This window comes from Homo sapiens, chromosome 6 (genome assembly GCF_000001405.40).
Source record: "Homo sapiens chromosome 6, GRCh38.p14 Primary Assembly".
Taxonomy (NCBI): domain Eukaryota; kingdom Metazoa; phylum Chordata; class Mammalia; order Primates; family Hominidae; genus Homo; species Homo sapiens.
In genome coordinates this window covers 169,388,407-169,401,131 of record NC_000006.12, presented here as the reverse complement: position 1 = coordinate 169,401,131, position 12,725 = coordinate 169,388,407, and the positions used below count along the sequence as shown (strand labels likewise).

At 45.4% G+C, this 12,725-nt stretch overlaps 1 annotated feature.

The window, feature by feature from the left end:
* Positions 4,621 to 5,820: an enhancer, noted in NCBI's record as "BRD4-independent group 4 enhancer chr6:169795407-169796606 (GRCh37/hg19 assembly coordinates)". NCBI's record gives its function as "activates an origin of replication core promoter dependent on BRD2, P300/CBP, MED14 and CDK7 cofactors, and independent of BRD4, by STARR-seq in HCT116 cells {active_cell/tissue: HCT116}" and the evidence as "EXISTENCE:reporter gene assay evidence [ECO:0000049][PMID:35650434]".

The window sequence follows — 12,725 nt, the reverse complement described above, 5'->3', positions numbered from 1 at the left end:
CACAGCAATAGAAATATTCCTATTTCTAGAAATATCTAGAAATATATTCAAGAATAAATGGAAACAGTGTGAAATTAAGATGGTATCTCACACCAATGTGAAAAGGAGGTCTTATTTTATAAACAGTATTGCATAAAATGACTATAGTTAATAATAATAATAATTAATAAAATGAAATTAGAATCTGCTACATACCTTATATCCAAACTAAATTCCATGGGGACTAAAAATGTAAATGTTAGAAAATAAAATATAAAAGTGGTAGAAGAAAATATGGATTAATTTTTATATAATCTTAAGTGGGAAAGGCTTTTTCTATGTCTGACTCAACTAATTACGTGACAAAGGGAAAGATTTAGGCTTGAATATGTACAATTCTAAAGTTTTCATGTGAAAAAAAGTGAAAAATCAAGAGCAGCCTGGTAAAAGTATTTGTAAGAGAAACTAACAAAGAAGGAAGAAAGCAATGGACATCATGATAAAAACTTAAAACGTGGCACAGAATGAGGTAATTTACTATAGAATAAATGCATATGAAATAACATATGAAAACAGGTTTAACTTTACCATTAAAAACAATGCATAGCCCAAATGTGGTACTGATTGTAATCCTGAAAGACAAATAAACACCCTAATCCCAAATGTTGAAATCCTGAAAGATCAAAATTCCTAAAGTCTAGAGTCCCAAAAATAAATCCTGAAAGATCAAAATCCCAAATGCTGAAATCCTGAAAGCTGAATTCTGGGGAAGGGGTTAGTGTGCTTTGGCTGTAGTCAGGACAGTTGTGTCCTGTTAGTTGCGTGATGTTAGTTGCATCATGCTAGGAAGAGCTATTACCTTGTTATTGTCTTAATTTGCATTTGGTGGAAAATTCAGCTGAGTAGATTGGCCACGTGATACGGCAACGATGAAGCTTCACTTTAAAAATGCGTCATTTGCCTGCATTGGTGTTCCTTCCAGCCAGCGACACTCCAAGAACTCTTCATGAATTAAAGCCACATTTACCTGCAGAAGCCAGTGAAGTTACCAACTGGCTCAAAAATAATCATGTTCAGGGTAGGATAAGAAGATGCTTACACAACGGTGCTGCTGTTCTGTCACCAGCATTGTTTCCAGCAAATGTGCGGCCTGTAGATGAGAGTGCAGGCATCATGGATGTCCAGGTATCCAAAGCAACGTAAAAGCATATGGGACAGAAGATGGGAAAATTTAATAGGAAATGTATATGTCAGCACACGTCAAATCATAGGATTTCAAAAAGAGCAGTGCCACATAGAAAGTGAATGTGAACATATTCTCCAAGGAGAGCCATGTCCTAAAAGCAAAAAGCCACCGCTCATCACAATGCAAGACTTCAAAATACAGTTCATGACTGTGAAAGTCAGGCAGATCGAATGGGCTGTCTCCATGCAATTGCCCATTGCCCATTCCTGTAATATGCTTCTTCATATGTCAATTTACTTTTAGTTTTTCTGCTTTTTTTCTAGTTTTTTTCCCCCCCCACTATCTTAAGTTGTCAGCATTACTTATTAGAATTCACTATGTATTTCGTCTTCACATCATTTCCAGTCCTGGATGTATACGTTGTGTAAAGACTTCAAGAGAGTTCCAATTTGTTTTATGCATTTTTTTTTTTTTTTGCAGATTTCATTCCATGAAAGTATATTATCACAATGCTGACTTGGAGTGTAAGCACTGTGCAGATACATAAAAACATTGAAACTTCCTCTGTAAATGAGGAGATGCCCTTTTTGTACATCTGCATTTGTGAGAGAGAAACTTTCTGGGGAAATAATAACAACCACTGCAAAAAAATCTTTAGAAATCTCCCAGACTATTAACGTGACATCATATAGCAACATTTATTTTAACACTAACATTTAATCTGAGAACAAAGGTCATTTACAGTGAATCTCTTTTGACTTGTGGAAAGCCCACCCTGACTGCCTCAAGGCTGATATTTTGCAGTGGCTGGTCTGGGCAGTGTCTTAGTCGAGGAAATAAAGAGTTGAGTTATTTCTAGATTGAAAGTTTCAAAGGGGGTGAAGCCAGAGAGAAGTTGTTGCAGGAATCAGAATAAGATGAGAGTCAAGAGCTCAAAAGACGGGAATGAAGACGTGAGGCCAGGAAGCAGTGAGGTTCTGGGAGAGGAAAGAGAGATTCCAAGAGAGCATGGAGATGAGACCTGGCATGTGACGTGAGTGGGAACGTGGACTGTTATAACCAGAGACAAGCTGAGGTTCTGAGTTCAGGATTTGGGAGTGGGGAACCCGGACTGTTATAACCAGACAGAAGCTGAGGTTCTGAGTTTGGGATTTGGAAGCAAAGTGGCCTGGGTAGCGTGCCTGCCTTGAGTCAGAGCTGCAGCCATTGGCTGGTCCAGCTTCATGGGGTCCTGAGCCTGGCTGTCTCTGGATCAGGAAACAAATGACCCTGGCTTCTTACTGGAGTGTTTTCTTCAGGAGCCCAACTTTGATTGCCTGCAGGGTGTGGTCATTTTCTCCTTGACCTCATGATAAATCTGTTTCTCATCCAGTTTCCTTGCGGTTTGCTTAGACTCTGGGCCAAGACAAGGCTTGCCTCTGTCCCTGGATACAGAAGCAGGCGTGTCATCTGACCCCACGTGCACTGTCAGTGTGGCCATCCTGGGCCGCCTCCTGCAGGGTCCCTGGGCTGCGAGTCTCCCCACATTCTGTCTTGCAGAACCATTCCTCCTGTCCGGATGGCATGCTTTAATCAGCGCCTTTCACTCCAAATCGAGTGATTCTCTTGTCTCTTTTCATTTACTGCCTGTTATTCACCATTTAATTACCAAAACAGAGACACACAACCCTCCCCAAGCAGGGGACGGTGTCTCCACATAAAACAGGATTCTTTCTCCTCTCGTACTCACCTGGAAGTTTTTAATCCTGTAGTGTTTAGCATGGAGAGAAAATTCACAAGACATCCAGCCAAGGTAAAATAAAATACACTGGAAAGTGCCTTCAACGAGGCTCTACCACACACTGAAAAGTACCTTCAACAAGGCTCTACCACAGCCCTGGCTCACAAGGGTATGTCCTTTACGAGATTGTTTCAAGGGGCTGTTTCATGGAATTCCCGGTAACAACCTTGTACGGGAAGAAGACTCAGGTTCCAGGGCACGCGTGTTGTGCTCAGGGTCACAGGCTGAGGGAGAATGCGTGCCCACCCAGCCCATGGCCGGTCTGCCTGAGTGCAGGCTCTGTTTTCTGCATTGCAGGTTCTGCTGATCACTGGCCTCAGGCACGACTCAGCAGATGTGGTCCAGCGGCCATGCAGTCAGTGAGCAATTGATGCTGTTTTCATCTGGCCGCCCGTTTATGTGCTCATCAGACACTAAAGGAAGGGAACCCACCTGATTTGCAATGGCGTTATTTAAATGCTGGCACTACCTCTTTGCCTATATAAATTATCATGATGGCATTTTCTTATATAAATTATCATGATGGTATTTTCTACGTCTAGGCATCAGGCAAAAGTTGAACTGGAATCTGTCACGATTTTCCATTAAATGTTAGTCATCCTTTCCCCAAAGGAAAGATTGGGGCTTTCCCCATTCCTCCTCCCACCACCCCCACAAAAGAAAAAGATAATGTGACTTAAAAAATCATTATCAAAGAGAAAAAACACCCTTGCCGACAAGATTTTGTCAGTCTTTTGGAATGGCATTGGAAAAAGGGACAGGAAAAAAGGAGAATATGGAGGCATGTCAGATTGTCTGAGGCAGTTTGGTGTCTGATCTCCAGGACTATGTGAGCAATATAATTGCAGAGACAAGGTAGGGCTTATAATTGTATGATATGATAATCTAAACAAAATTTATTTGCCACATAGAAAGGCAGCATGTAACACACTCACAATATCCAGCATCCAGACCGGGCGTCTGATGTAGACTTTCAGGAACTTCACTGGGTCGTAGAGAAATTAGGAAAGGTTTTTAGGATGAACATGTCTCTCCCATCAGAAGGCAGAACCCGACGGGGAGAAGAACAATGGACAGAGCATTGGCTGTTTGTGGTGTATCGCATGGGTTTCCTACGGTGCTGGGCATGAGTCCCTCGGATTAGTACCCACCTGTTATACTCGGGCAAGTGCCCTGCATCTTCTGAGCCTTAGCGTCCTCCTGTGAGTGCTGATTTTGCACTCTCGGAACCGCATATTTAAGAAGGTGCTGTCCTGTGGAGGAGCAGTGTTATTTCGCGAGAGCTCCCTGAGTGGGGGGATGACTTCTTTCTTCCAGCACAGAAGTGAGCCTGGTTCTCTGTAGGTGCTCAATGCACATCTGCACCAGGATGGCATCCAAACCGCGGGCTCGCTGGAGAAAAGCAGGGCTGCTCATGCGGCTAATCTGGGTTCTGCAGAGCATGGCATGGCAGCTGGCCTGCTGGGCAGCCGAAAGGGGAAGCTGAGGGGGTGTGGGCGGAGAGGAGGATGAGCCAGAGGGCCCAGAAGAAGAAACCTGGGGAGAGGTTCGATTTATGAAGTGCATGTTCATTAGACTCGCTGGGTGGCAAGAGCTGTGGCTCCCCTCCTCCAGTCTCCTGTGGAGTCTTCACTCCCTGTGACTTTGGTTGTCTGCAGGGTGAGGTCATTTTCGGTCCCTGTGACTTTGGTTACCTGCAGAGTGAGGTCATTTTCAGTCCCTGTGACTTTGGTTGTCTGCAGTGTGAGATCATTTTTGGTCCCTGTGACTTTGGTTGTCTGCAGGGTGAGGTCATTTTTGGTCCCTGTGACTTTGGTTACCTGCAGAGTGAGGTCATTTTCGGTCCCTGTGACTTTGGTTACCTGCAGGGTGAGGTCATTTTCATTCCCTGTGGCTTTGGTTGTCTTCAGAGTGAGGTCATTTTTGGTCCCTGTCGCTTTGGTTGTCTGCAGAGTGAGGTCATTTTCGGTCCCTGTGACTTTGGTTACCTGCAGAGTGAGGTCATTTTCGTTCCCTGTGGCTTTGGTTGTCTTCAGAGTGAGGTCATTTTTGGTCCCTGTGACTTTGGTTACCTGCAGAGTGAGGTCATTTTTGGTCCCTGTTGCTTTGGTTGTCTGCAGAGTGAGGTCATTTTCGGTCCCTGTGACGTTGGTTGTCTGCAGGGTGTGGTCATTTTTGGTCCCTGTCACTTACCTACAGGGTCTGGTTATCTTCACTCCCTGTCACTCATGCCTCCCAAGCTCTCACAAAACTGGACTTTTGTGAGGAAATAGTGAAGCCCTCAATGCAGCCCTGTCAGAGAACACGGAAGAACAAAATCTTTGCACATCATGTTTGTTGAATAAATTGTTTATTCCTCAGGACACTTGACCACAGTAAAATGTCATATTTTAAATTTTTTCTTTCATCGGCCAAGCTTACAAAAGGTGGACCCTCTGCTAGAGTTAAATGCAGTGGGCAGATGCCTCATGCAGAGAAGGCTGGTCTTGCTTGGTTAGATGAGGCTGGTTTCACCTGGATTACAGGACACTGAGTCATTAGTTTCATTTGTCCCTTCAAATGCCTACCCAGCTGTTTATGAAGTAGCCACTGCATGCTAGGAAATGCAGGAGCAAATCGTGACAACATCCAGGCCCTGCTACCAAGAAGCCCTTGGGCTGGTGGAAACGGTGGTTCAGTGGCTGAGACACAAGCTGGTGAAGGCTGACAACAGAAGCGAGAGACTGAGGCAGGTGTCTCAATCACTGAGAGGTGTGATGCCAGCTTTTGGACATGTCCTGGAAAAACCTGACCCCCCCACAACACATCTACAACTGCTGTTCCGAAGAGGTTTTCAGGAGGGTTAGTATTGATGTTCCCTTATGATGAGGGGGCCTGTAGAGAGAAGGGCAGGCAGGTGGCAGGGGCATGACTACACTTCCCTGAGACCTTGGTACCTAGCAAATCTATGTTTTGAGAGCAGCAGGAGGCAGCCAAAGGCCCACGCAGGTGGGGCAGGTCCCTGGTGAAATCCCACATCCAAGCCAAAGACAGTTTAAAGCCTGGAAACCAAGCTACAAGTTAAATCCTTGGACCAGATTGAGGACTTGTCTTGCCGTTCAGCTTTCCCCTGATTGGTCCCCACCCTTCACCTATTTTATACATACCCACCCTTTCCTAATTGGTTTCTCTACACTATCGTGCCCACCATTGAGTGGCGTCTTCACTTTAAACTTTTCTGCATACTCACAAACCAGTCAGCACACACTCCCCATTCTGAGTCCATAAAAGACCCCAGACCAGCCACACGGGGGTACTTTCTGTTTTCGGGTAGGGGACCAACCCCATGTTCCCTCTCTGCTGAAGACAATTTTCAATGCTCAATAAAATTATTCTCTGTCCTTATCATCCTTCAATGTTCAGCATATTCCCATTCTTCCTGGGTGCAATGCAAGAGTTCGGGAACTGCCAATGTGGGTATAAACTGTAAGACAGGTGAGCTGGGACACACTAGTGTGGCTGAGCAAGGCCTGTGTGTGGAGTTGCTGCCTGGGGGTTCCTGGCTTGCAAAGTGACTGAGAACAAAAATCCTGCATCATTTTGGAGGCTCTCCCTGAAGGGTAAGTAAATGAAGACTTAAACTCTTCACCTTTTTCTGAGACCTCTTGTCATCAAACTTTTTTCTGAAGGCAGATGAGGCACCGAAGCTCTGGTGAGTCAATTAGGAAGGAATGGTGCCTTAGAGAGGACAGGATGCAGCCCTCCCGCCTCTCTCTCCCTTTTGGGTGAAAGGAGTGTTGGCTTTGTTTCCCTTCACAGAGTTCTAGCTGTCACAGGGGATTGGAATAAGGTCCTGGGGCAACTGAAGGCATCTGGCCAAGGCCACTCCTGGTGTTGCTGGAAGGCCCCTAGAGTACCTCTGTCCCTGACTGCCCATCAGTGTGTTGGCCAAGACCCCCAGACTTTTCTATGGTATTTTTCCTTCCTTCTTTCATGGTTTGAAATGGCTCCTGTCTCTTTGTTTAAACTGTTAAGGGTATTGCTGCAAACTGCAGAGTTATTACCAGGTAGAATGAGCGTTTGGCCCAGCCATCAGATACGCAATTCAGAACAATGTGATTTCTGTCTCTTCTTAGTGGCACGTTCTCCACCCCCGTCCTAATGGCCGCAGGCATGCATGATGGATGGACAGGTACACAGTGGCTCCCTGCCTCCCTCCCTTCCCAGCTGCGGTGCGTGCCCATGTCCACCGCATGCACATGCTGCGTCCAATGGCCTCAGGATGGGAGTGAGCCGCAGCTGCCGCCCAGGCCCGAGGGTGATCTTAAGGGCTAGGAGCCCTGTGGGGCCAACTGGCCAGTGTTTCCCACCCTCTACACCCTCCCAGCATGTGCCCACAGAGTCTTTTCCTTGCCTGGCAGAGCGGTCCAGCTTAGTCTGAACCAGAAGGAGCAAACAACAACTTAACGTTTTACTGTGTTGAAGGAACCCATTTGCATAGAGCAAGGGTTTTTTTTTTTTCCTCCAGGCACCTTCCTGCCCCTTTATTTAAGCTCTTTTTTCTTTTCTCCACCATGTCAGGAGTTAACACAACCCTGCGAATACAGGGAGATTTCCCATGTGAGAGGTGTTTTTGGAAAGGTGTCCTACTAGGCCAGGACCCCAATTCATGGGACCCCCTTTTCTCTCCCTTGTTTGAGGAGGACACCCAGCTCCACAGCTTCGCCTTAGGCTTCGACTTGTGGGGAGGCAGCAGCAGAGGAGCGACCCCACCGGCTGCTGGCTGCAGCCTGGTGAGGACCGCCTGGGTCTTAGTGAGTCCACGAGCCCTCCCAAGACACATTTTTGCCCCAAACTCAATTCCATGCCTCTGGTTGAAGTCCTAGTAAGGAAAACTGGATCTAAGGAATCCAGAGGCAGATCACAAAGGAAGCCAAGGGGCACAGCACAGGTAAGCATGACTAATTCCTGCCAATTAGGCCCCCCCATTTCATGGATAGAGGTCATATTAGTATCCATGGCACATATGAGGTCTGGGGAACTCAAAGGTTACCTACAGCAGCGGGGACAGGCAGTGTGTGGGTGAGCATAGATAATTCCCACCCCATAGGCCCCCTGTTAACATGGATGAAAGCTGCATTGGCACCCATGGGCAGCATCCTGCCAAGGTCGCTGGGACTCAGGGATATAAGGATGGAAGAAGGAAGGGGGATGCCTCTTTTTTCTGTCTCTCATGTGCCCTGGGCATTCACTGGGAAGTGAAAAGAACTAGGGACACCTTGTTCCCCTCTTTCTGGTTGGATCACTAATCATCTTCAGTCTTTACTTCTCTCAAATGCCTCCTGAATCACTGGGATTCCTTTGAAAAAACGCCTTATTTTTCTTTTTTCCTCCTCTGTCCTCCCTTTGTGGGTGGGTGATTTTGTTCCCGTACCATAGGACACTCCCCACGGATCCATCCCCAAACCTTAAACTGCTTAGCTTAAAATAGAGGTTGGGGGAAGGGAACCCAGAAGCCTGACATGCCAGCAAAGGGTTAAAAGTTTTTTTTTGACTAGTCAGACTTCTGGACTCTCTCTCCCTGTGCAAACCAGTTAAATGAATGATAAAAATCACTGTTTATATTCTCTGTAAATGGAAAAAAGGATTTGTGAGGCTAGTCTTAAGCTGTAGCCAATCTGGTGTGCTTTGTGTCTCTTTCTGTGTGGTTCTGTCATAAAGAAGGGTACTTCAGGATAGAATGGGGGCCTACAACCATATAATCCTGCTGTTCAGGCCAGCCCAGCAAACTGGTCAGTAACAAACTTTGCTGTAGTTCTCCATCTTGTTTTACATCCTTGGGAGCTTGACCTCATAACCACGTGGCAGTACTTTCTTTTGCTCTCTGCCATTTTACAATGGTGGCCCAGGTTCAATCCTGACTTAGGGAATGAGTACTTTCTGGTTAATATATGTGTGATTTTTACCATTTGCTGATTCTCTTCCCCTCCATGAACAACTTCTAGCTTCCTCTCTTAAATCTTCCTTTCTCTGAGCTACCTTCAAAGATGCTAGATTTTGTGAAAACTGCTTACCACCTCTTTGAAAATACCTCATACACTTGTGGTTAACTCATAACCGTAGTTGAGGCTTGTTGGTTTCACCTGTGAGGTTACTTCTGGTAAAGTTCAAAAGCCAGAAATATTGGCCACTTGGCAAGACTAAAGTTGGGTAACAAGAGATTTTTTCTAAAGATGGTTTATAATCAGTTATAGGACTTTGACAGGTGCTCCCAAATGCAGGTTTCTGATAACATTGGAGATTGTGACATTGGAATAGAAGAAAACACACATAACTCGTAAAGAGCTGAAATGTTCATGAATATCAAGCAGAACAAGAATTAATGGAATGGACTGAACTAATAGAAAACTGAAGTAATGTTTCTAACTTTTTGCTTAAAATGTTGGTGATTCTTGTTTTGTTTTTCAGAGTCAAGGAAACTTATTTTGAGCTATTTACAGCCTTTAATAATTGAGTAAGTTATACTCCTATGAACAAAATTTGGAGCATGTTTGTTTCTCTTCGCCTGGTTTCTCTAGAATTTGGAAACTATTTGTGAGTAATCTTAACTTATGGCAATATACTTGTTTTGCATCAGTGCAATAACAATCCATTTTCTTTTGTAACAGGATGCAATTGTAGAAACTGGTTGGTTGTTTTACCAAGGCTTTGACTGGAAAGTTGTGCTTCCCTTTAAAGAATCAAGCTTGATATGCAGACCCAATAAAAGCCCCTTGAGAAAACTGGCCTTCATACCTTGTCAACACAGTCCTGTATAGGGTTCTTAACCTGTGGTGAGTAAAGAATGTCACTTTCTAATAGGCCCAGGAGCCCCATGTTATCTTGAAACCTCCGTAAGAGGAAGTTACCCAACTCATAGGTATTTGAGGGTAAAAACCCATGGCTGGGCTCGACTTTAAAAAGTCCTATCTGAGATTCTTTGTGGAACAGAGCTCCATCAAAGCCAATTTTAAAAGCTTATGTGAAAAATAATTATTCTTGCTGCACTTTATGCAAATGATCAGTCCAAGTGGAAGACTAAAGTTTATTTTGCAAACAACTCAGTCCTATCATGATTTGTTTTTGACAAAAATAAGACTAAAGAGAGAGAAATTATGTTTCAAAACTCACCATATAGTAGTCATTAAATTCCAATGTCATCAGTTGTTTTTAAGTTTTTGCTTACATTTTAGACTAACCCTGCTTATTCCTGTGAAGCAAACAGTGATCTCTGGCTGCAGTTCAGAAGAAAGAGAAGGGATGGGTAATGCAAAAATCTGGACCAATATTCTAGTTCTAATTATTGTGCAAATCCTGCCAGGTGATGGGAGTAAATAGGGTGCCTATAACCCAGAGGTTTCCTTTTTTGGGAAGATAAGACCAAGGGAGCTAACCAAAGCTGAGTCCCATGCACTTATATCTTAGCAGGCTTAACTATAACCACTAGTTATCCATGCATGCCAGCAGCCTTGGTATTTTTGAGCTGTCCTTTACCCCTTGTTTCATTTTGATTCATGTCCTCTAATAACTCAGTTTGTCTCTTTTCACCTTCAAGCCATCAAACTCCAAATGCTCATATAACCGGAACCTCGGACAATGGTCCCTTCTTCCGGGGACCCTTAGATAGGCCTCGGAGGAAGCTCTGACTACTGTTTCCCAAAACAGCACCCTCCTGTCAGCAGGAAGCAGTGAAGACTGGTCTTTGTCCTTATCCTCATCCTTATCCGAATGGCACTTAGATGTACTTCTTTAGAAATTGGGCATGACAGCAGCAGGAGGCAGCCAATGCCCAGGCAGATGGGGTGGGTCCCCAGTGAAACCCCACCTCCAAGCAAAAGACAGTTTAAAGCCTGAAAGCCAAGCTACAGGTTAAATCTTTGGATCAGATTGAGAACTTGTCTTCCTGTTTGGCACGCTTTCCTCTGATTGGTCCCCACCCTTCACCTATTTTACATTTACCTACCCTTTCCTAATTGGTTTTTCTATGCTGTCATGCCCACCTTTGAGTGGTGTCTTCCTTTAACCTTTTTTGGATTCTCACAAACCAATCAGCATTCACTCCCCATTCTGAGTCCATAAAAGGCCCCGGACCCAGCCATATGGAGGAACTTACCCACCTTGGGTAGGAAGACCAACCCCACATCCCCCCTCTACTGAGAGTTATTTTCAGCACTCAATAATATTCTTTTCTGCCCTTCTCATCCTTCAATGTGCAGAGTATCCTCATTCTTCTTGGGCATGGTACAAGAACTCAGGAACCACCAAACATGATACAAGCTATAACACAGGCCAGTTGGGGCATGCCAGCATGGCCGAGTGGGACCCAGGTGGAGCACTGCCAGCTGGGGCTCCCTGCTCTGCAACGTGACTGAGAATAAAAATCCTACATTGGTTTTACGTAACAGAAGGTGAACATCTGATAAGAAAGGGTGACAAAAGGAAAAGTCAACCATGCAGATGTCTCTGGGTATGTGGGGGAGTGACTGGTCTCACCTTGACTTTATTCTGCACCTGGGCAGGTGGGTTTGTAATTGACACGACCAGTGTGCAACTGAACAGACTTTAGTTTTAGGAGCTGGACTTAGACTGCAGTCCTAAAGTTTCAATTGGCCTGTCCTCATTCATGAGAGGCCAGCAGAGAATTCACGCAGGGATCATCTGTGTGGGCAGCTTTTCCAGATGCCTGAGGCCTTTCCCATTCTCTTTGGGTCTGGCTGATACATGATGTTAGTGACAGTCAATTCATTTGGAAGAGGGAGTGCAATGACTTTCCCTTTTGCATAAGAAGTTTTGGGGGTACTGAGATTTTTAGTTTCCTTTACAAGACCTTCCCGCAAATAAGTACAAGAGGACCCAGAGTGTGGGGTGTCTGGCTGTCTGAGCAGTTGGGCCACTGACGCTGAGGACAATGTGAGAAAGCCTGTCCTGGTGGAAGGGAGAGCAAAGGTGGAGAGAAAGGAAGCTCCATGTTAGTTTTTGAAACACACCACAGCTGAAGGTCAGTCCCCAAAGCTGGTTATGGTTGAAAGGGAGGAAAAGCTGCTCCCACGTGGCTCTGGCTGAGGCTTCCGAGACTCTGCAGGTGGGGGCCGTCTGTCTTCCCCAGGTGGGAGCTACTTCTTTTTAGAAGCAGGCTCCACGGCGGTTTTCAGGTGTGGCCTTGCCCAGCGTCCCGATGTTTTGCTTCCTGCCTGGCCTCGGCGCTCTTTGATGACCTCCTCTTGCCACACACTGTGGTCTCCATAGGCTGCCCACTGCTGATCCGAGGCTGGTGGCCCCCAGCACACGTGGGTTTCTGAGGAACACGCTGAGACTCTCGGGCCATGCCGTGACACAGGGGAGACAGCGTCTGCTCTTTTTCCATTTTTGTTCGTTTTCAGTGCTCTGACCCTCAGGAAGCCCACTTAAGCATCCCAGAATCCAGACGGCCGTGAACAAAGCTGCTGTGGTTTGGGGCTGCAAAACTGGCCCACAGCCCACCTGGATAACTGAATCGAACATGCCTCAGCCGCCCTCACCACAGGCACCATCCCCCTCACAGAAGTTTGATGTCTGATCATTCAGCACTGGCTGAGCCTCAGAGCTAAAATGGAAAATGCATTTTATGAGCAGATAACACATTTTTGGAATGGCTACTTTAAACATTGTGGATACAGATTCACAGAGACTATTTTTAGATGAATTATTTCTTCTATTTACCATACTGATTTGCTGGAAGAAAGAAAAACAATATTTTAAAAAGGGAAAACATTCTTTAAAAGC